Source organism: Homo sapiens, chromosome 8 (assembly GCF_000001405.40).
Source record: "Homo sapiens chromosome 8, GRCh38.p14 Primary Assembly".
In the NCBI taxonomy this organism is placed as follows: domain Eukaryota; kingdom Metazoa; phylum Chordata; class Mammalia; order Primates; family Hominidae; genus Homo; species Homo sapiens.
In genome coordinates this window covers 141,325,834-141,347,476 of record NC_000008.11, presented here as the reverse complement: position 1 = coordinate 141,347,476, position 21,643 = coordinate 141,325,834, and the positions used below count along the sequence as shown (strand labels likewise).

General features: G+C 58.2%; 1 long non-coding RNA gene across 1 annotated transcript, besides 6 other annotated features; it reads right to left on the bottom strand.

Moving 5' to 3' along the window:
- Window positions 1,010-1,630: an enhancer, noted in NCBI's record as "H3K4me1 hESC enhancer chr8:142355946-142356566 (GRCh37/hg19 assembly coordinates)". NCBI's record gives its function as "activates a minimal SCP1, AML or CMV promoter by ChIP-STARR-seq in primed H9 embryonic stem cells {active_cell/tissue: H9 hESC(primed)}" and the evidence as "EXISTENCE:reporter gene assay evidence [ECO:0000049][PMID:30033119]".
- LINC01300 (long intergenic non-protein coding RNA 1300) lies at window positions 2,856-6,928 on the bottom strand. The gene is made up of 4 exons (NR_024441.1): window positions 6,805-6,928; window positions 5,001-5,136; window positions 4,262-4,519; window positions 2,856-3,133 (listed from the first exon to the last, which is right to left on the bottom strand). It is a non-coding gene; the product is annotated as a long intergenic non-protein coding RNA 1300 (long non-coding RNA).
- Window positions 4,804-5,304: an enhancer, noted in NCBI's record as "H3K4me1 hESC enhancer chr8:142352272-142352772 (GRCh37/hg19 assembly coordinates)". NCBI's record gives its function as "activates a minimal SCP1, AML or CMV promoter by ChIP-STARR-seq in primed H9 embryonic stem cells {active_cell/tissue: H9 hESC(primed)}" and the evidence as "EXISTENCE:reporter gene assay evidence [ECO:0000049][PMID:30033119]".
- Window positions 8,453-8,747: a silencer, noted in NCBI's record as "tiled region #12881; HepG2 Repressive non-DNase unmatched - State 20:ReprD". NCBI's record gives its function as "represses a minimal TATA promoter and a strong SV40 promoter by Sharpr-MPRA in HepG2 cells {active_cell/tissue: HepG2}" and the evidence as "EXISTENCE:reporter gene assay evidence [ECO:0000049][PMID:27701403]".
- Window positions 11,466-11,965: an enhancer, noted in NCBI's record as "H3K4me1 hESC enhancer chr8:142345611-142346110 (GRCh37/hg19 assembly coordinates)". NCBI's record gives its function as "activates a minimal SCP1, AML or CMV promoter by ChIP-STARR-seq in naive H9 embryonic stem cells {active_cell/tissue: H9 hESC(naive)}" and the evidence as "EXISTENCE:reporter gene assay evidence [ECO:0000049][PMID:30033119]".
- Window positions 17,299-17,833: an enhancer, noted in NCBI's record as "H3K4me1 hESC enhancer chr8:142339743-142340277 (GRCh37/hg19 assembly coordinates)". NCBI's record gives its function as "activates a minimal SCP1, AML or CMV promoter by ChIP-STARR-seq in primed H9 embryonic stem cells {active_cell/tissue: H9 hESC(primed)}" and the evidence as "EXISTENCE:reporter gene assay evidence [ECO:0000049][PMID:30033119]".
- Window positions 17,834-18,370: an enhancer, noted in NCBI's record as "H3K4me1 hESC enhancer chr8:142339206-142339742 (GRCh37/hg19 assembly coordinates)". NCBI's record gives its function as "activates a minimal SCP1, AML or CMV promoter by ChIP-STARR-seq in primed H9 embryonic stem cells {active_cell/tissue: H9 hESC(primed)}" and the evidence as "EXISTENCE:reporter gene assay evidence [ECO:0000049][PMID:30033119]".

The following is a 21,643-nucleotide window of genomic DNA, read 5'->3' as shown; positions in this document are numbered from 1 at the left end:
GGGCTGTCCTCTGGACAGTCCCCAGCACGTTCATTCATTAATTCAATCAACAGTTTATCTACCCACCCTGTGCCAGGTATAACTGAGGGTCTCACTCCCAACAAAACGTCTGCCTCCCCATACACACACTTACATCCATGCACCATGATCACAGTGGCCGACCCCTCCAATGGGGCTCATTCCCCTGGGGCCAACCCTATTTTCTCTGGGCTTTCCCTGGAACTTGCACACACATAGGGGTGGGCAGAGCTAAGGGGGCACATTCTGGGCCCCAGCCCAGCCTGGGCGAGCCCCTCCAGCTGGCCCCAGCCCCTCCACTGATCCGCTGGGAATGCCGGCAGGATTGAAGTGCCTGGGGCATATGACCACCAGGTGGCGCTGCTGGCCTGGGAGCTGCTGCAGAGGCACCAGGACCCTCCGACCTTCCTCTGCCGCCTGTCTCTCCAGGCGTCGTCCCCAGAGCTGAGCAATCCTGGAAGAATGCTCAGAGGATCTGTGACTTCCTGACCGGCCTGGGAGAGGTTCTCAGACTGGACCTCGTTCCAGACTGCCCCTCCCTCTAGGTCTCTTTCCCCACCTAGGGGAGGGCTTGTGCTCAGGGGTCACAGCCTCGAGAGAATGTCTGCACTCCTCCTTACCTGAGTGGCCTTGCAGGTTCCTTTGCCTTCCCAACTTGGGGACAAGTGAGGGCGTCTTCACTGTGTGCCTGCCCCATGCCAGCCTTGCAGATGGAGTGCAGATGGAGTCGGGTACAAGTGCCCTCCACCCTCCACCCTCCACCCTCCACGCACAGGCAGGCTAGCTCCTCCCTCCTCTGTATACCCGGACAGGAGGGGTTCTTATAATGCCCTCCTCCCAAGCAGAAGGAGGCTGAGGCTCAGCGAAGTGAGCCCTCACTCTGCCCGGGGCACACAGCTCGGGGCAGAGCCCACTCCTCACCTTCGCCTTCTCTCCAGGTCCCGAGGTGGTGTGCTGCCTTGCAGAGCGAAACTGTTTTCCCTGTTGTAGAGATGGGTGGGGAGCATGCAGGGAGACAGAAAATGCCCTGTCTGGAGTCACCCCAGCGAAGAGCAGTGGGGCTGGGGCTGGGCAGCTGTGTAGGGGTCAGGGGGCAGCTGGGGAGCTGCCTCTCCTTCTGGATGACAGGCTGCACTTGCACTTGTCGGGGGAGCCAAGAGCCCCCACGGCCATCCATGGTCCTCAGGTTAAAAACCTCATTCATCACCTGTGAGCCCAGAGAGGTCAGAGCCCCCCACCCCGAGTCACACAGCCTGGCAGCCGAGACCGCTGTGTGGGCAGGAGTGAGAAACCAGCCTGAGGGCTCAGATGTCCTGACAGGCAGTCCTGAGCATTGCCAACCAGATCACTGGCACCTGCCCCAAAGCCGGTGGCAAGGGAGAGAGTGCTTGGGTGTGTGTCACTCGGCGGTCTCTGGCCCCTTGGGTCAGGCAGAGGGGACAGGCCCCACCTGTAGGGACAGAGGGAGACAGTGACAGTGTCCAGTAGACCCTGGCCCGACAGCTGGGCCACGCCCCTGCCTGTGTATCCATCTGCCCCACTGTGGTTCAGCTGAGGGTGGACTGGCCTGGCAGGTGGGCACAAGGCCCGGGCCCCAGATTCCTGGAGAGGTCGGTGGGAACTCCTGTCAGGGGGCCCCAGGGAGCGGGCAGTGTGGCCACTGGGCCCTGACACCCTCTGGGGAGCCAAGGCAGGGCCAGGCCAGGGGTCTTTCCAGCCCACTCCCGCTCCCGGGCTCCGAGTCGCCTGCCAGCTGTCTCACTTCCTTCCTGTCCACTGGCCCGCAGGCCACCTGCTGCCACCTTCTCCAGCACTTGCTCTGCCTCACCCATAGGCCTTTGCTGGACTGCGGGAGGCCGGAAAGATGGAAACAACTCCAGAACCCCAGAACCTTGATTCTTTTTGTTTGTTTTTAGTTTTGAGGCAGGGTCTTGCTCTGTCGCCCAGGCTGGAGTGCAGTGGTGCAATCACAGCTCACTGCAGCCTTGACCTCCTGGGCTCAAGCGACAGCCACCCTCACCCCAATGCCCACAGTAGCTGGGACTACAGGCACATGGAACCATAGTCAGATCTTTTTTTTTTTTTTTTTTTTTTTTTTTACTTTTAGTAGAAATGGGGTCTCAACATGTTGCCCAGGCTGGTCTCCAATTCCTGGGTTCAAGGGATCCTCCTGCCTCAGCCTCCTAAAGTGCTATAATTATAGGCATGAGCCACTGTGCCTGGCTGATTCTTTAAACCAGGATTTGAAATCCTTTCTTCATATCTTGTCCCTGCAATAGCTAATAGTTCTAGAACCTTCTATCCATTCACTTCCCTCTTCCCCTGTGGCATGACCCCCACAAGTCTCTCACAGAGGAAGCCTCAGGCCACAGTGCTTACCAACGACCCCTCTAAGGGGACAAGTTGGGGGCCAGCCTGAGGGAAGGGGCTCCCACTGTGTCTGTGTGGGAGCCCTTGGGAGACGATGCTGGCCCAGCAGGGTGGGTTCTGGGCCTGTGGGGGAAGGTGGAGATGCCACACCTGAGAGCCAGCCCAGGGGTCCGTGGGGCCACAGGTGCAGGGGAAGGTGGACAGGACGAGTGGTCAGATACACTGCCCACCCCTAGGGCCTACCTGAGCCCATGCTAGGTACGTAGTGGGGCTGTGTTTGCGGGGCTGGGACCAAATCCCAGGTCCAGCCCTTGACTGTTGTGTGACCTTGGAGCAGGTGAGTTCACCTCTGTAAGCCTGTTTGCTCCTTAGTAAAACAGCCATACTCACGCTAAATTCTTGGGTGGTTGAGATGAAATTGTGGGAAAGGGACAAGGCATTCAACTTAGCACCACACACAGCCCATCTATCATTCAGCAAGCATTTATTGAGCACCTACTATAAGCCTTGGCATGGAATCAGGATGAATGAGGGACAATCCCTGCCCTCAAGGAGCCCGCAGCTGCAATCCCGGGCAGTGAGGGCCTGTCGGAAATGTAAGCTGGGCTCAACTGCCTGCTAGAGAGGTGGGGAAGGCTTTCCGGAGGAAGTGACATTTAGCTGGGTTTTGAAGGATGCGTAGGAGTTTGCATCTGGAAGGGCATCTGCTGCAGCAGGAACTGTCGGGGCAGAAGTGGAGATGCGGCTGTGTAGTGGAAGCACAGAGGCACAGGGGTCACAGGGCCTGGCCGGCTGGCAGAGGAACCTCAGGAAGGTCACCTCCCCTCTCTGGGCCGCAGTTTCCCTGTCTCTAAATGAGGATAAGCGCGCCCGCCTCCCAAATGGGACAGTGGCTGTGGCAAGCGCGGGGTGAATGCTAATGTTCCCTATTTAATTTTCCATGTTCTGTTTTGAGGCCAGTCAGGGTTATTTCTGTCCACACTCAACTATTTCCAGGCCCAGAGTCCTCCTTTCCCACAGAGGACAGCGCTGGGCCTGCCCCAGCCCACTATCTACTCCCAGGCCGTGGTGGGAGGCCAAGGGCAGGGGGCACCTGGAGAAGAAATGCAGACTCAGGATGGATCAGAGGCAGGGTGGGGACCCAGCCACCCCAGGAAGCCCAGGGCTCCAAGGGCCCCGTTTGGTGTGCCCAAGGCCGAGCAGCCCAGTTCCAAGCCCCTTTTCCAGGTGAGGTGGGACGGAGGCTCCCATGTAGTCAGGGGAAGAGAGCAGAAGCATTTACCACACCCCCCAGGACTGCCCCGCTGCTGCCCGGCCTGCCCAGGCGAGGAATCTCCCCATCCCCACAGCCACAGCCTGGTGTGCCCCACCCGGCCTCCTCCCTGTTCTCTCAGCTTCCCGGTTCCCACCATCACCCCCATTCTGGCCCAAGGGGCTGACCCTGGGGTGTGACATCAGGGAAGACAAGAGGTGGGGTTAGGGCGCTGCCTGACCTCCTACAAAACAAGCTGCCTTCCTGGTAGCCCTGGGCAGCTGGCCCAGGGATGGCCCATGGGGGCCCCGCCCTCCAGCCAGGTTACCTGCTGCTGGCCAAGAAGCTGGGGTGCTCTGGGCTGCCTCCCTGTCCCTTCTGCAAAGCCCCTGATCCCCACAACCTCTCTCCCACCCTGAGAGCCTGCCGGGGGTTCCTTCCTGGCCATCCCTGGGCTCAGCCTCCTTGTCGTGGGGCACAGGATTGGGTGGCAGGAAAGAACAGGGGGGGCTGGGGCTGGGGCACAAGGGGGGCAGGGAAGAGACACAGAGTGGAAGGTGGGGAGGGACAGGCACAGCTGGAGACGACAGTGTGTGGGGGCTCCGGGCAAACACATCTCACCTCCAGCCCGTTCTGAGCAATCCATCAGTGTGGCTGCCCCTGGAACGTGCGGGGGCACCAAGGCGGAGTTGCAGAGGCTGTTACTGATATGTGTCGTGGGGTGAGTCGGGGTGGGGGACGCATATCCCCACTCAGAACTCTGCATCGTAGATCCCATGCGTCTTGACACCTTCGTCTGCTAACATCTAGAAACCTTAGCATTTGAGAACCTTCAGATCCAAGGGTTCTGAGAGCTTAGAATTGTAGGATTTGTGAATTCTAGAAACAAAGGCAAGAAGATCACCCGTAGGGTGTCTCCTCTGCTCATGCAGCCTGGAGGGACCTCTCGGTGATCCCCGGCCGACCCCTCCCCAGCACTCAGCCCAAGAACCAGCCTCAACCACCTCCCTTCCCAGCTCAGCCTCACCTGCTGCCCAACCTGCAATACCTCCTCCCATCTCCCATCCTCAGACAGCCCATCCCTCCTGCAAGGTCCAGTCCGAAGTCGTCACCTCCCCCAGGAGGCCCACCCGTCCTCCTCAGCCCAGCCTGACTCTCAGGATCAGGCTCACCCTGCGGAGGCTGAAGCCACCAAGTCATAGTCCCAGTCCCAAGGGGAAGACAGGCCTGGAGCAGGGAGAGGTGTGGGCAAGAACACAGCCTCCGTCCCACAAAGAGGAGTTCAAACCCCCGCTCCAGCCCAAATGGCCCGGGCAGTGCCCTCACTCGTCTGCTTCAGCAGCCTCACCCGACTACTCACGATGGCTGCAGGTGGAAACTGCCCACGCATCTCTCAGCAGCTGAAAGGATGACTCCACAGTGGACGATTACTCAGGTGTAAAAAGGAGCAAAGCACTGGCACATGCGATAATGCGGAGGGACCTGAAGCCACCGTGCTAAGTGAAAGAAGCCAGACACGAAAGGCCACATGGTGCTCACACCTCCAGAGATGTCCAGAACAGGCAAAGCCAGAGACAGAGCACAGACGTGCTAGCCAGGGCTGGCTTCCTTGGAGGCTCCCAAGGAGAATCTGTTTCCCTGCCTTTCCAGCCCCTGGGGGCCCCCCTGGACTCCATGGCTATGGCGGCGGGTGCCAAGGCCCTGCAGCAGGGCACGACCACCAGGACCCATTGGGAATTGGCATCTGACTCCCTTCCACCACCCCGGGTGCCCCCACTTAGGAAGAGCCGACTCTCAGCAACTGTGCCCAGAGTGGCCTGGCCCATCAACCATGTGCCCCCTCAGCCTTCCTGCAGCCATTCAGAGACAGCAGTAAACACTCCTCCATCCCAGTGTGTGGGCCCAAAGCTGAGATCCCAGCCCAGGTCTCCCAGCTCACAGCCCTGCCCAGGGCCATCCTCCTGCTAGACGTCACCACATCAATGAGCATCTACCCCGTGCAAGGAAGAGGCCGGCGATGGGGTCCAGGTGAGGGGACAGCCAAGCCCACCAGGCGGTGGCCTTCCCTCACCTGCCCATTCTGGGCTAGGTCAGCTCTACCTGGAGCCTGAGCCCAGGCCCCTCCAGTGCCCTCTGCTGACTGCAGCAGACTGACCACCCTGGAGACCCTCCTGCCCCTGCCCCGAGACCCTCCATGCCACCCTGCCTCCAACCTCTGTCTTCTGCCCCCATTGCCCCTTCATGGTCCTGCAGGCCGCCCATGCTCTGTAAATCCAGCCCACCTGGGCACCCCGTGAGACCTCGGACCCGTCACATCCTGGTCCCTCCTCTTCCCCCACCCCCACATCCGACTGGCACTCCCTTTGGGCAGCTCCATCCGGTGGTGTCCTCTCTGAGTCCCAGGGCCTGCATCGGGTGGTGTCCTCTCTGAGTCCCAGGGCCTGGCACTCAGCAGGCCCTGGGGACATCAACCAGGGGCCCTTGAAGCTGTGTCCCTGGACACAGTTTCCCTGCCCCAAGCCCTGGCACATTCGGCCCAGGCTTGGCAAAAACTCCTTGTCCTCCAAGGACTCGGCTGCACCAGCCACTCAAATAAATTGATGTTCCCATCTCTGCTGACTCATGGATGAGAACATCGGGGCTCCTGCCAATGGCCACACACACCCCCAGCCCCACCAGGGAATAGCCCTGCACCCTGCAGGGACAATGTCATGAGCCTGAGAAGCCACCAGCTTCCCCTACTCCGTGAGCACCAAACTCCAGCCTGCTTGAGCTGTTGGGGGCCCCCTGCCTTGGCACTGTTCCTAATAGAGCCTGGGATCTTGTTTGAGCCCTACAAGGAAGCAAGGACCCCAGGCATCATCTTACAAACAAGGAAACTGAGGCTTGGGGAGGGGAGGAGCTTGTGGGTCCAAGTTCCCTGCCGGCTGTAACACTGTAGGAGTCAGAACCTGGCCAATGCCTGGAGGGGGCTTCCTTGGCCAGGGCTGAGCCTCAGGCTGCCCCCACCCCATCTCTCCCCCACTCCCATTGCATATGGAAACCAGAAAATCAATCCTAAGACCCCCAGCCAAACGAACGGACCCTCGTCTTGGCTAAGGACATTCCAAAGTGAACCTGAAAAGCGAGTTCAGGCCACGGTGGGAAGCGGGAGACGGACATACCTTGTTATCCCCCCTCCCTTTTGGAATGACTGGCAGAACAGTCTTTCAGTCTGATAATAAACATCTCCCATCCATTCTCTCTGCAGTCTGCTGCCTGGAGGCTTCATCTGCATGATGAAACCTCGGTCTGCACAACCCATTATCTTAACCCAGACATTCCTATCTACCGACAATAACTCTTTCAACCAACGGCCAATCAGAAAATCTTCGAATCCACCTATGACCTGGAAGCATCCCCGCTTCCGGTGGTTCCGCCTTTCTAGGCGTAACCAATGTACAGCTTATGTGTATTGATTGATGCCTTGTGTCCCCCTAAAATGTATGAAACCTAGCTGTGGCCCGACCACCTTGAACACATGGTCTGAGGGTCTCCTGGGGCTGTCATGGGCCCCCGGCCATTCATCTTTGGCTCAGAATAAATGTCTCAAACACTTTACGGAGTTTGACTTTTTGTTGATATATACGTCCAGGGAGGCCTCACTGCAGACTTACTGGGCCGCAGGGGCCTCAAGGACCAATATGGCCCCTCCTCTTGGAACAGACGGCCCCAAGCCAAGAGGACTTGGGGACCCTGTGGCCCAAACGGGTCATTTCACAGAATGGGAGACGGAGGCCCACACGGGGAATGGAGGAGAGCGAGGTGGAGCAAGGCCCTTCCCAGCCCTGGGCGGCCCCTTGACCCTTTTGTTCCCCCTCGCTGCCAGGCCTGTGACTGGGTGGGCCTGGGTCTGCAGCCCTACGGGGACTGGAGGGACAGCTGAGTGAGCAGAAGGTGCCTTGTGGCCAAGGCACAGAGGCGTCAGGGCCCAGCTGTGTTCAGCAGGAAGAAGGTCTGTGAGTGGAATATGGGGGTGCAGCGGGGTGGGGGGCGGCCAGCCTGCAGCTCAGATGCTGCGCTGGGGCTCCGGCCGTGACCACGCTCAGCCTCTGTGTCCTCCCCGGTAAAGTGGGAGGAATCGCCTTCCACACAGGACTCGGGGCTGGGTGAGGGCTGGGCGGCCACCACCACCTGCCCTGGGGCAGCAGGAGCTGCAAAGCCAGGCTCAAGGCCTGGGGGAAGGAACCCGGCGCTGGGTGCCCAGAGTCCAGATGAGATGGGTTTGGGGGGAAGGAACCCGGTGCTGGGCGCCCAGGGCCCACATGAGTTGGGTGTCGGAGGAAGGCAACCCCACCCAGGCCACCCCAGCCAGGGCTCAGGGACTTTGCCCACATGTTACCCTCTGGATCTTTCGGAACATTCTGCTGAATAAAAACTGGATTTAAAAAAGAGGCCAGGCACGGTGGCTCATGCTTGTAATCCTAGCACTTTGGGAGGCCAAGGTGGGCAGATCACTTGAGGTCAGGAGTTCAAGACCAGCCTGACCAACATGGTGAAAACATGTCTTTACTAAAAATACAAAAATTAGCCAGGTGTGGTGGCACATGCGTGTAATTCCAGCTACTTGGGAGGCTGAGGCAGGAGAATCACTTGAAATCTGGAGGCAGAGGTTGCAGTGAGCTGAGATTGCGCCACTGCACTCCAGCTTGGGCAACAGAGTGAGACTCCATCTCAAAAAATAATGAAAAATAAAAAAGGTATATTCTATGAAACTCTATTTGGGGTGTGATCTCGTTTTTAACAAGTATTTAAGAAGTAGGCTGGTGCAAGGTGTTTCTAAATGCTTCACAGTGTTATCTCTAGCAAACATTTCATCTGACGGTCTTTTGAATGAGGAGCTCCTGAACGTTCGGCAGAGGAGGTGGAACAGAAGAGAGAGGGCAGGCAGGGGCGTCTCCCTTCTTATCAAGGTATGACTAAGGGCACAACCTTATTTCCAAACAGAACAGTGGACAAACCGGGAAAGGGAGAGTCTGGAGAGATGAAGCGATACTATTAGTGCGGCTGACATGTCAATCACGGGGCTGGCACCGTTCACAGCTCTGAGGCTGCTGGATCTTTCCTGCCTCTCACCTCTGCTCTGCTCAGGCAAGCCTAGCCAGGCAGGGACTGGAGTTGGGGGCTGTTTTCCAGTTCACAGAGGAAGTCACAAGGCCCTAGGACACTCAGGGCCTTGGGAAAGCCAGCCAAGGACCAGAACAGATGTTTCGGCCTGACAGCACCTACTCTTGGGTTAAGCATCACCCTCGGTTTGAAAAATAGAAGTGAGGCCAGGAGTGGCTCACACCTGTAACCCCAGCACTTTGGGAAGCCAAGGCGGGCAGATCACTTGAGGTCAGGAGTTCAAGACCAGCCTGGCCAACATAGTGAAACCCTGTCTCTACTAAAAATACAAAAATTAGCCGGGCGTGGTGGCCGGCACCTGTAATCCCAGCTATTTGGGAGGCTGAGGCTGGAGAATTGCTTGAACCCAGGAGGCAGAGGTTGCAGTGGGCTGAGATTGCACCACTGCACTCCAGCCTGGGCGACAGAGCAAGACCCTGTCTCGATAAATAAATAAATAAAATTTTAAAAATAATAAAAAAAAAACAGGCTAGGCACGGTGGCTCATGCCTGTAATTCTAGCACTTTGGGAGGCCACGGTGGGCGGATCACTCAAGGTCAGGAGTTCAAAACCAGCCTGGCCAACATGGTGAAACCCTGTCTCTACTAAAAATACAAAAAATTAGCTGGGCGTGGAGGCGCACACCTGTAGTCCCAGCTACTCAGGAGGCTGAGGCAGGAGAATCTCTTGAACCTGGGAGGTGGAGGTTGCAGTGAGCTGAGATCGTGCCACTGCACTCCAGCCTGGGTGACACAGCGAGATCCCATCTTAAATAATAATAACAATAATAAAACAGAAGTGGGTAGGGCACGGTGGTTGACACATGTAATCCCAGTGCTTTGGGAGGCTGAGGCAGGCAGATCACTTGAGCCCAGGAGTTCAAGATTAGCCTGAGAAACATAGTGAGACCCCGTCTCTACAAAAATAAGTAAATAAATTAGCCAGGCATAGTGGTGCCCACCCATAGACCCAGCTACTCAGGGGCCTGAGGCGGGACGATTGCTTGAGCCTAGGAGTTCAAGACCAACCTGGGCAACATAGGAGACTTTGTCTCTATAAATAATTTTTAAAAATTAGCCAGGCCTAGTGGTACACCCCTGTAGTACCAGCTACTCAGCAGGCTGAGGCGGGAGGATTGCTGGAGCCCAGGATGTTGAGGCAGCAGTGAGCTGTGATCATGCCACCGCACTCCAGCCTGGGCAACAGAGCAAGATCCTGTCTCTAAAAAGAAAAAAAAAGAAGTATTCGTAGGAGGATCACAGAAGACCCCCAACACCCTGGTGATGTCACCCTGAAGTCCAGGAGAGCCGAGGCTGAAGTCTCGAGGGGAAGGACCCGGCCTCGATTGGGCCGCAGCCTCGGCGCTGGAGCCAGGTCTAAGACACTGCTCTCTATCACGCTGGGTTCCCCCTGCGGTGCTGCACGGCGTGGGCTGGGCACCCCCTCTGGGATCAGTTTGCTCCCTGCAGGATGACAGGGTGGGCAGGGACATGTATGGGACTCACCACCCACAGCAGGGACCCAGGTCCTTCCCCGTCTGGCTGGGGTCAGCCTGGGAGGGGCAGGGTTCCGCCTGCCTGATGCATTGCCTCCTGCTCACCACCCCCAAGCAACACTCCGGTCACTTCTTACTTCCATACCAGGTCTTCGCACTTGCTATTCCCTCTGTTTCCCATGCCTTTCCTCAGGAGAGCTCCTATGCCTCCCACACACAGCTGGGCCGCCGTGTGGTCTGGGAAGCTGTCTCTGAGCAGAGGCAGCCACTGTGCCCCAAGCCCCGTGGGCCCTCGTCCTCACCTCCATTCAGCTGTGGCCCTGCTGGATCGTCACCATCCAAGTTGATACTCTCTCCCAGGGCCCCGTGAGCCCCATCAGTGCAGGGAGTCCATCTGCTCTCTCCCGACTCCCTGCTGCACCTGGTCCAGGGTTCCCCACAGAGGAGCTACTCCATGAAGGCTCAGGGACCAAATGTGGAAGTCCCAAACATGGGCTCCAGGGAGGAGGAGAGACAGGCAGGGCCATGCGGTCAGATAGGGACAGTGAGGAAACCATTGACACGTTGATCTGTGTCACCCACATAGGAACCCTGGGGAGATGCCAGTCTCTTCTTCCCAAGCTATGGGAAGGGGAAACTGAGGCTCAGAGACACAAGAAACCTGCTGGGTTTCAGGAGTCTAACCCACCAAGGACCCCAGGATGCCTCACACCCTCCCCAACCCCACTTCCCAGCACCAGGTTGAAGACAAACTGGACTCACACCCTGGTCAAGGACTACCACCACCCGCCGCTGCCCACGTGCAGCCTCCGGTCTTCCTGCCTGGAAGCGGGCATGAGTGTGCATGTGTGCATGTCCACACAGGCATCTGCTGCACACCCACCGGCTTCCTGATCCCCTAAACAATCTGTCAGCTGTGACTGCCCATGTCCTGGCCCAGGTGCGTGCAGAAGGGTGGGATTAGGGAGGGAGCCCCGAGGGTCTGCAGGGGAGGCCGGGTCCGGGTCAGGGACACAACCAACGTGGCTGATGGGGTGGAGACGGCTCAGGCTTTGAGCAAGGACTTGGAATGTAATCCTGTGTCCAGATCCTTGTCAACAGGAGGCTTAAAACATGGGTGAAAGGATGGCACTCAAGAAAGACTGACCTGCCCCTCCAGGGCCCAGGTAGGGCACACCTGTGGGGTCAAAGCTCTGGCTTCTGGTCCAGCAAGATCCAGCTGAAGATGGTCACTAAGAGGCCTAACTTCAGAGAGCACCCTGAGCTCCCTTACCTCCTGAGCCCTGACCCTGGTCACTCCTGATACACATTGAGCCCTGACCTCAATCACAATCTGAGCCCTGGCCCTGGTCACTCCTGATACACGTTGAGCCCTGGCCTCAATCACAATCTGAGCCCTGGCCCTGGTCACTCCTGATACACGTTGAGCCCTGGCCTCAACACAATCTGAGCCCTGGCCCTGGTCACTCCTGATACACGTTGAGCCCTGGCCTCAACACAATCTGAGCCCTGGCCCTGGTCACTCCTGATACACGTTGAGCCCTGGCCTCAACACAATCTGAGCCCTGGCCCTGGTCACTCCTGATACACGTTGAGCCCTGGCCTCAACACAATCTGAGCCCTGGCCCTGGTCACTCCTGATACACGTTGAGCCCTGGCCTCAACACAATCTGAGCCCTGGCCCTGGTCACTCCTGATACACATTGAGCCCTGGCCTCAACACAATCTGAGCCCTGGCCCTGGTCACTCCTGATACACGTTGAGCCCTGGCCTCAACACAATCTGAGCCCTGGCCCTGGTCACTCCTGATACACGTTGAGCCCTGGCCTCAACACAATCTGAGCCCTGGCCCTGGTCACTCCTGATACACGTTGAGCCCTGGCCTCAACACAATCTGAGCCCTGGCCCTGGTCACTCCTGATACACGTTGAGCCCTGGCCTCAACACAATCTGAGCCCTGGCCCTGGTCACTCCTGATACACGTTGAGCCCTGGCCTCAACACAATCTGAGCCCTGGCCCTGGTCACTCCTGATACACGTTGAGCCCTGGCCTCAACACAATCTGAGCCCTGGCCCTGGTCACTCCTGATACACGTTGAGCCCTGGCCCTACCCACAGTCTCAACCAGGGGCCTTTATTGGGCAGTGCCAGTGCTCAACCAGTCCTTGAGTTGGGATTGCAGCTCCATGACCTCCTGGCCCCAGCTCCAACACCTGAGGATGTCAGAGCTGCGTCCCCTGCCTGTGAGCTGCCCCGTCTCTGGACCGCGAACCTGCAGGTCAGTAGGAGTCCTCAGGGCTGGCCCCCGTGCTCCGCACGGAGCTGGGTACCAGGTACTGGGTGGAGAGCTGCATCACGTCCGCTCCCCCCGGGCACCCAGCAGGAGGCTGGAACAAGGGACTGGAGCTGAGGGCGGCGATTTCTCTCCAGAATATTTCCCGTGCTCCTACTGTTTACCAGGATCTGAAAGACTCACAGGCCCGTGGGTTCCCCTCTCTCCCAGGCTGCGGTCTGCAGAGGAGGTGCCAGCTGTGTGGGGTGCTGGGCATTCGAGCAGTCTCGGGTGGCCGGAGGTGTCAGCCGGGCAGAGTGGACAAGAGCCATACAGACAGAAGTGCGGGGGCCCCTGGGAGACCCCAACAGTCCACGGGAGGTTGGGGCATCCAGGTGGCAGCAGGAGGGTGTGGAGGACCCAAGGCCTGGAGGACAGAGAGGGGATGGCAGCAGGCTCTGGGAGAGCAGTGGGGCTGGGACAGAGAGGGACGAGGGGATGTGCATTTGCCGGGGTCTTGGCCTCTGGTTGTGAAGCCTGTGGTCGGGTGGGGCTGGGGGTAAGGGCCTGAGCTGAGCCCCAGGGCTCTGGCTAGGAGGCTGGGAAAGCGGTGGAGGTGCTTGTGCACACGGGTGTGCATACACACACACACACACACACTGTGTTTGCACCATTGGCTCCTGGGCAGATGCTTTTCCCCACTACCATCGTAACTTCCGTTCCCCTCCACCCTGCCAGGACATCTTTTCCCAGACTTCCCACCCCCATGCCCTTGCCCCACTTTCTCCCCATCTAAATCTTCCCAAACTGCCAGCCCTCCTCCTCCAGGAAGTCCTTCCTGTCTACTCCTGCCCCTGGGCTCCCCATTTTGGCAGAGGCTGGTATGCAGTGACTGTCCCTCCCCTCCTCAGCATCCATCCAGCACCCACCGCAGCCAGACCTGTCCTGGATCCTGAGGGCTGGGGCACCTGACATGCAGACATTCCAAAGACAGGTGGCATCCTACTGCACGTGCATTTCCTCATCTAGCCCTCACACTCTGAGTGTGGACACTGAAACAGTCCTGTTATGCAATGAGGAAACTGAGGCAGGAGGCTAAGACACTTACCCTCAGTCACAGAAGGAACTTCTGTGTCTGAAAAAGACCAAAGTCCCCCCCTGCCCCGCCAGGTCTCTATAAAACATCTTTGGGAAAGGGTTTGGCTGCCTCTGTCGTGGGATTGGGGCTGTTCACGGCCTGCCTGCGGTCTCACTCACCTGAGTCCTCTGTGGGTCCCTGCACACAACCCCAGGCTTTCCTCCAGCCCCTCCTCTCACCCCTCCCCTCCAGCTCCCCTCGGCTGCTTCCTCCTCCTCTTCCCTCCCACACTCCACACTCCTGTCCATCCTCGGTGCAAAGACATGAACTTGCTTCCCACGGACCCTGATCCCATCCCCTCCGGGCCCCACCTTGACTTCTCTAGATCTTTTCCTAAATGAATTCCAGGGAAGGATTGGGAGCTGGTCTCATGGTGATGGGCTTTGCTTCCTTTGCCCAGTGCTATCACATTTCATCTTTGCAGTGACCTGGCTTCATCCAAAGTACCAGGCCCAGCCCCTCCAGCCTCACCTCCCTCCACCAGCCGCCCCTTTCTCTGGCTCCAGCCCCTCCCTCCCGCCTCCAGGCCTGCCCCAGGTACACGCTCTCCACCCATCTCCTCCTTCACCTGCTCATCCCCTGCCCTCCACAGGTCCACTGAGACGCTGCTTGTTCCGGCAGCCATCCTGACCTGCTCAGTCTCCCTGATGATCCTTTGCAGGGGCCGTTCCCTCTGCCTGCAACACCCTGTCCCACCCCCCTTCTCCGGAGGCCTGGCTGTTTGTGCATCAGCAGGGGAGATGATCCAGATGTTCCAGATGGTCCAGAAATGCCATTCTTCTGGGCTAGAAAAGAGAACTGGGTAGGAGTCTCTTCTGTGGGGCCAAACCAGGTGCCAAGCCCATGAGTCCAAGGATGGCATCTGCTCAGAGGAGGGGATTTTTCTAGTTCTCAGGAAGGGCTGTAAACCTAGAGGCGGGTGCTGGCACAGTCGCCCCGATGCCCAGGGGCACACTTCAGCCCTCCCGGCACACCCTTCCCTGCTCTGTGCCCCCCTTACTAGAGATCAGTGTAAATACTAGCCCAATTATTTATTGTCAAACTAAATAGACAGGCTCCAGACTCCGGCAGGATCTTCCCATTGAATTCTCAAGAACATATTTTTGAATTATATCTTAGTATCCCATTTGATAAGAGGACACTGAGGCTCAGAGAGGTGAAGTAACTTGCTCAAGGGCACACAGCCCATTGTGACTGAGCAGAGCTCGAATCCAGAAATGCGGAAGCCCAAGGGCAGCCTCCCTCCCGTTCTGTCAGCCGCCTGGTTTCATCCAGCATGCTTACAGGGACCTGCTGCCCCCACCTGGGTTAGGGGTGGGCTCTAAAGATGATCAGGGTGCTCCTGGCCCCATCATCACATAGGCAGGGCTCCATCCTGCTTCTGCCACAAGTTGGGTGACCTTAGGCAACCTACCTAACCTCTCTGAGCTGCTGCTTCCTTTTCTGCAAATGGGTTACTGGGATTTATCCTGCATAAACAAGACATGTAAAAAAAAAAATCAAAAGGCTCAGGACAAAGCCTGCTGCACAGAACACCCTCAGTAAGTGTCAGCTTCAGGCAACAGCTCATGACTGTGTGCTTAACGCTGGAAAATCAAGGAGTGTTATAGGACCAAAGAAATGAGGCCCCACTGGTGAGGTTTCAGGCACAGTGACAGCATTCAGGGGGGTACAGGAAGCCCCACAAAGGCCCTGAGGCCCAGGGCCCTTCCCGGCAGCAGGTCACCAGGAAGCAGGTGAAGGGGTTATGGGCCCTGAGGATAGATGACCTGTTGCTGCCCATTCTTGTGGGGGTAAAGCGCTCCCCTCCCCCCAGGGAGTTTATGGTGAGCTCCCCTTTCTGCTTGGTCCTGGCCTGAGCATCTCCCTGGCATGGTGGTACCACTGCTCTGTGCCCTGACGCCTCTGCCCAGACCTCGGCTGCAGGGCCCATGTTGCAGAGAATTACTCCCAATTCCATAGACGGTCCTGAGGCCAAGAACAGAAGCAGGTGCTGGCCCAGCACCCACCTCTTGTCTGCATCCTTTCCCAGACCCCCTTCCTTCCTCCACACACCCCGGTCATGCCCACCCCGGGGTCCTTGGCCGCACAGCCCTCAGTGTTAACCCAGGACCTAGGCCCTGAGGACTGAGCTCATGGTCTCTGCAGAGGTCCCAGCAGGCAGGCAGGCTGGACACTATTCCCGGTGACAGCTCAGAGGTCAAGCAGGTACCCCCGGCCACACGGGCACAGGAGTGAAGTCCTGCAGGCTCCCCCTCCCCTAAGCTTCCGGCCAGTGCCCCCACCCCAGCTTTGGCTGGGCCTCGAAGGCTTGGCGGAGCCCCTGCGAGATGCTGCTCCCGCGGAGGACAGGAGGAGGGCTGTCCCATTGCGGTGGGTTCACTCCCCTGCCACTTTATTTTCCCAGAAAGGCAAAAGACACCTTGGGATAGGACAGTGGGATGGAGTCTGATGTATTTGAAATTGGAAGCAAAAAACCCAGCTCCCAGGGGCTGGGAGAGAGGCCGAGGGCAGTGGGAAGGTGGGGCAGGGACACACCAGGACGCAGGAGTCTGCTGGATCATAGCCAAGTGCGTGGGGCCCACTCAACCAAGGAAGAGCAGGGGGACCCAAATTAGGAACTCCCTTGGGAGGGGAGCAAGCACTGGAGAAAGCCCAGCCTGCCCTGCTGCCCTCCGCATCCCTGCAGGCTCCTGCCCGGCTGCCCTCCACGTCCCCGCAGCCTCCTGCCTGGCTGCCCTCCGTGTCCCCGCAGGCTCCTGCCCGGCTGCCCTCCGTGTCCCCGCAGGCTTCTGCACCTCTAGCTCACACCACAGGCTGCCCAGGTGGGGACCTGAACTCGGCTCTTCTCACCCACAACCTCCTGCACCAGGGCCAGCAAATGCTGCCCCTCCTGCTGTTCCCCAGCTTAATTCCCAGCTGAAAACAGAGCAAAGGCATTGGCAAGACCAAAGCCACTTGTTTCCCAAGGACCTGGATTCTGAAGCAGGTGCCCAGGTGTACGGCCACACTGGACACCCTCTTGATCCTCCCTGGAGCTGAGCTAAGGCCAAGGGCTGGCCCCAGCCCTGGCTGCCTAGTAACTATGCCCAGAGGCCCAGCACAGAAGGCGTAGCCTGCAGAGGCGCTGGGCAGAAGGACGGAGCCCTGAAAGTGTGCAGAGGACACACTGCCTGCGGGCAAGCGAGGCTGTGGGACTAAGTGAGCAGTGCAAGGTGCACCGCCTGCCGGCAGCCCTGGGCAGGGACCCCCATCCATCTGCTATGTGCTCCCCCAAGGCCAACCAGGTGTCTCTGCTGGAGACAGTCACAGTTTGTGATCTGTTTAACTGATTAGTGTCTGCTACAGACTGCCAGCTCCAGGAGGGCAGGGTTCTGTCCTGTCCCTTCCAGCTGGACCCCCACGTCCTAGCATAGTGCCTGACGTATCACATGAGCTCGGCCCATATTTGTGAGAAGAAGAGGAAGAGGGAAGGAGAGGCAGGCACCCCAGGGCCGACACGGAGGGCAGGTTGGAGGGTCTGGGAAACTTATTCAGAAGATGGGCCTGGAGCATGAGTGAGTTAGCCTCCACAGCAGCTCAGGGTTTGAGTCCTGAGAGCAGAGTTCAGCGCAGGTGAGAAAAGGCCACATCCCAGGAATGAGGAGCTGGGCCTGACACTTTCCTACGTGGCCACGGACGGCTCTCCTTTAGGGACCACGTGCATTCGCTGCCATCTCTCTCTGGCCCTAGAAGGGACGAACACCCCGATACCTCCATTTTCACAGAGGAGCAGCGGGAGGCCCAGAGGTGAAGGTCCTCACCAGGCGTGCAGCTAGGGTCTGTTCCTAAACCTGTCCTGTGCTGCCCCAGGTGCGGACAGGGGCTGAGGCTGAAGCAGAAGCCGGCCTGCTTGCCTGCTCTGTGTTCCCTGAGAACCCTGGCTGTCTAGTGGGGGCAACCCTGGCATGCCCAGAGACCCCACGCTGTGGTGGGGGAGCCCCTCACAGGCCCAGGCGCAGGTGCATGTCCTCCCTGCCCCAGAGGCCCTCGCCTCCTGCCGCTGCTGGGGGCCGCCCTGGCTGAGCGCCCACCAAAGTGTGAAGTGCTTCCCGAGGGAGTCCATGGGGAAGCCCCAGCCCCGCCTGCTGTGGCTGCATCAAGGAGGCGGCCTTCCTTCCGGGCCCATCGCCTGGGCCTCTGGGGTCAGGCCTCGGGTCACCCTCCGGCTGGGACAGGAAGCCTGACATGAGTCTGGAGTTGGGGGTAGGGCAGGGCCGGGAGCCAGCCCAGCGGGATGGGGATGCCGGCTGTCTGGGCAGACACCGGCGGGGTCAGGGAGGAGGCTGGGGTAGGGTAGCTGCCCTGTGACCTGCCCCCCTGGGATGCCGCAGAGCCCAGGCCCGCTGCTTCCCTCCGGTGCAAGCTGGGATGGGCTGGCAGCTGAATGGAGGGCCAGGAACCCCACCACAGCTCCAGGCCAGGCACCATCATTCCTGCCCTGGAAAAGGGCCTCCTTCCAGCCTCTCTGACTCTACTCCGGCCACCACAGCCCGATGTCCACGTATGTGTCATCCAAGACTGCGGCCTGAGTCTCATCCAAGATGTCATACAAGACTGCAGCCTGTCTTCTGAGTACATGAGGTGCAGCCAGTCCGAATTGAGTTGTACGGTAAGCGTGGAATATGTCCCCACCTAGTATGAGACAGACTGTGAAATATCTCATTCATAATTTGTTATATGAATGACACGTTTAAATAATATATTGGATATATTAGGTTCCATAAAATATATTACTAAAATAATTTGCATCAAATTCTTTTTCCGTTTTCCTAACGTGGCTGATAGAAAATTAGAAATTATTCACGAGGCTGGCATGAGATTTCTAGTGGAGAGTGCTGTCTCTGTGCCGACAGAGGGAGTGTCTCCAATCTAATTCACACCAGTCCCTTCCTTGCTTAAATAAAGCCCATCAGGTCAGGGGAAAGTCTCCCATGTCCGGTGTGGACTTCTCCCAGGACTCAGTCTCACCTCTGCCCACCAACCCCACTTTCCAGCTGCCCCGTGGTGCCACATCTTCCAGCTGCCCCCGTGGTGCCACATCTTCCAGCTGCCCCTGTGGTGCCACTACTGGGCCTCTGCAAGCTGCTCCTTCTCTAGGAGTGCCCTTCCCTAACCCTGTTTCCTCCTTTGTCTAGGGATGTCTTCTGGGCTTTCACAGATGCCTGGAGTGTCACCCTTTCTTCAGTGCTCCCAAGCCCACCTCCCCTGTCCACCCCCAGCAGCCCCTGCCTCAGCCCCGCTGGCTTGGGCTCCAAGAGGCGGGGCACCGTGCCGGGGTCAGGGGATTGAGTAACTTGCCTCGGAGCATCAGTTTGCTCATCTGTGAAACAGGTGCCCCATTCACGGGACCCACATCCCAGGCAGTCACTCAGCTCAAGTGAGGTCATCTAGACAGCCCCCTCAGGGCTGCCGCACAGAAGGGAATCTTTGGCTGGAGGATTAAATGTCCAGGTCGCCAAGCTGGCCACCCTCCTGAACAGAGCTGGTGAATCTTGAAAGAAAAAGAAAAATTGTTTCCGGAGCAGCAGCCCCACACTGGGCCCAAAGGTGATCGATAAGCAGGTCTGGCCCGGCGCCTCTTAGTGCTGAGAGGGCTCCTTCACTTAGGGCAGGGCTGGCTTTCAGACCAAAGCTGGCCAGCCACCTGTTTCTGTAGGACTGCAAGCTAAAATGGTTTTTACATTTTTAAATGGTTGAAAAGAAAACTAAAGAAGGGGCCAGGTGCAGTGGCTCACACCTGTAATCCCAGTAGTTTGGGAGACTGAGGCAGGCAGATCACCTGAAGTCAGGAGTTCAAGACCAGCCTGGCCAACATGGTGAAACCCCGTCTCTACTAAAAATACAAAAATTAGCTGGGCGTGGTGATGTGAGCCTGTAATCCCAGCTACCAAGGAGGCTGAGGTGGGAGGATTGCTTGAACCTGAGAAGTGGAGGCTGCAGTGAGCCAAGATGGTGCCACTGCATCCCAGCCTGGGTGACAGAGCGAGACCCTGTCTCAAAAGACAAACAAACAAAACAAAAACCAAAGAACAAGAATATTACATGAAGTTCTGCTTTCAGTGTCCACGAATCAAGTTTCCTGGGAACTCAGCCACACCCACTCCTTTACATCTGCTGTAAGGCTGCGTGCAAACTGCAGCTGCAGAAGTGAGTCTTACAACACAGACCTCACAGCCCGCAAAGGAGAAAAGATTTACTCCCTGGGCCCTTCCCGAAAGAGTTGGCCAACCCCTGCCTTAGGTAATCCTCCAACCCCTTGGGTGGGTGCTATTGGCCAAGGGGGAAACCGAAGCACAGGGGGGCTAAGTGTGTCCCCCGAGGGCCCCGGCCTTCAGCTGTGCTCCTACCCATCATGATGCCTGGTGCCCGCCCCCATCCCCAGGACCCAGAGGTCAACTACAAGTCCTGCTTTTCCCGCCCACCTCACACCCGGTCTTGGTGTTGTCTTGTTTTGTTGGCTGTGTGCCGTGTTTAGGAATCACTCACACTCACCGGAGGCCCTCGTCTTCTGGGCGTCGCTCCGTGCCTCGCACACATCTAAACAACCTTAACAACCCCCTGTCACCTGCCGGGGCTGCCAGAACAAAGTTCCACTCGCTGGGCGGCTGAAACAACAGGCATTTATTGCCTCACAGCTCCGGAGGCCAGAAGTCTGAAATCAAGGTGTCAGCAGGCTGGGTTCTTCCGAGGGCCAGAGGGAAGGGTCCGTTCCAGGCCTGCCTCCTTGGCTTGCAGAGGGCCATCCTCTCCTTCATGTGGCACATCTGTCTCCAAATCTCCCTTTTTCCAAGGACACAGTCACATTGGATTAGGGCCACTCCAACGACCTTATTCAACTTGATTACCTCTGTGGAGACTCCCTCCAAATAAGGTCACATTCTAAGGACTTCAGTTTGAATTTGGGGAGTCACAGTTCAACCCACAACACCCCAAGAAAGAAACTCTCCACCCCATTTTACAGATGAAGAGGGCTGGGACCCCTGCTTCAAGTGGGCTGGGGGCTGTAGCCCTCCCTGGAGAAGGAGGCTCCGGGAGAAGGTGGCTCCCAGCCTGGTGGGGTGAATCAAGTTTACCAGGGCAGTTGTTGCAGCTACATTTCAAAATCTGGCCCTTGCAACAGCCTCCTCCTCCTCTGCCTCCTCCTCCTCTGCCTCCTCCTCGACTAATTGACCTCAGGCATCCACAGGGGTATCGATGTCTCTTCTCCCGGTCCCACCCCACCTGGGGAGCAGCCCTGGCACCTCCAGCCCTGCCGCCCCACCCCCGGTGGGCATATTCTCAGCTCAGCCTGCTGCTGTCTAGCCGTGTGCCCCAGCAGGCGTCTCTCTGAGCCCACCTGTGAAATGGGTGTGATGAGGCTCGAGTGAGTTCGTACCGTAGCAGGAAACCCCGAAGGAAGCCCTGAGCCCTGGAAGGAGCTTTGCGGGAAGCAAGCTGCCGGAGACCCCACCATAGGCAGTCACAGCCATCTGCTGAGCTCCGGGGTGAAAGCTGGCAAGCTGGGGAAATCTCTTTAGTGCTTAGGGCACTCCTGCAGGGCTGGACTCGCCTAACGGCGGGGTAGGCAGAGTAGGACTGGACCTCAGGCTGCCAGGCTGGACCAAAGCTTCCCCTCCTCCGCCCCTCCTTGTCCCCCCGGCCCCTCGCCCTCCCTGGCCTCCAAGTCCCCACCGTCTCCAGTAAGGCTGTCCAGACGTCTGTGTCTTGAGCTGGTCCCAGCGTCTTTGTTCCTGCTCTGGAATAGGGATGGCTGAGAAAGCATTTGGGAGGGGCGCTGCGTTTTAGTTTAGATTGGAGGGCATGGGAGCTGGGCAAGGCCGGGCGGCATCTGACTGAAGGAACAGTGTGTGCGAAGAGGCCAGAGTATGGATGACCTTTGACCCCAGGCCCTCTCTGGGTCCTTGCCCCCG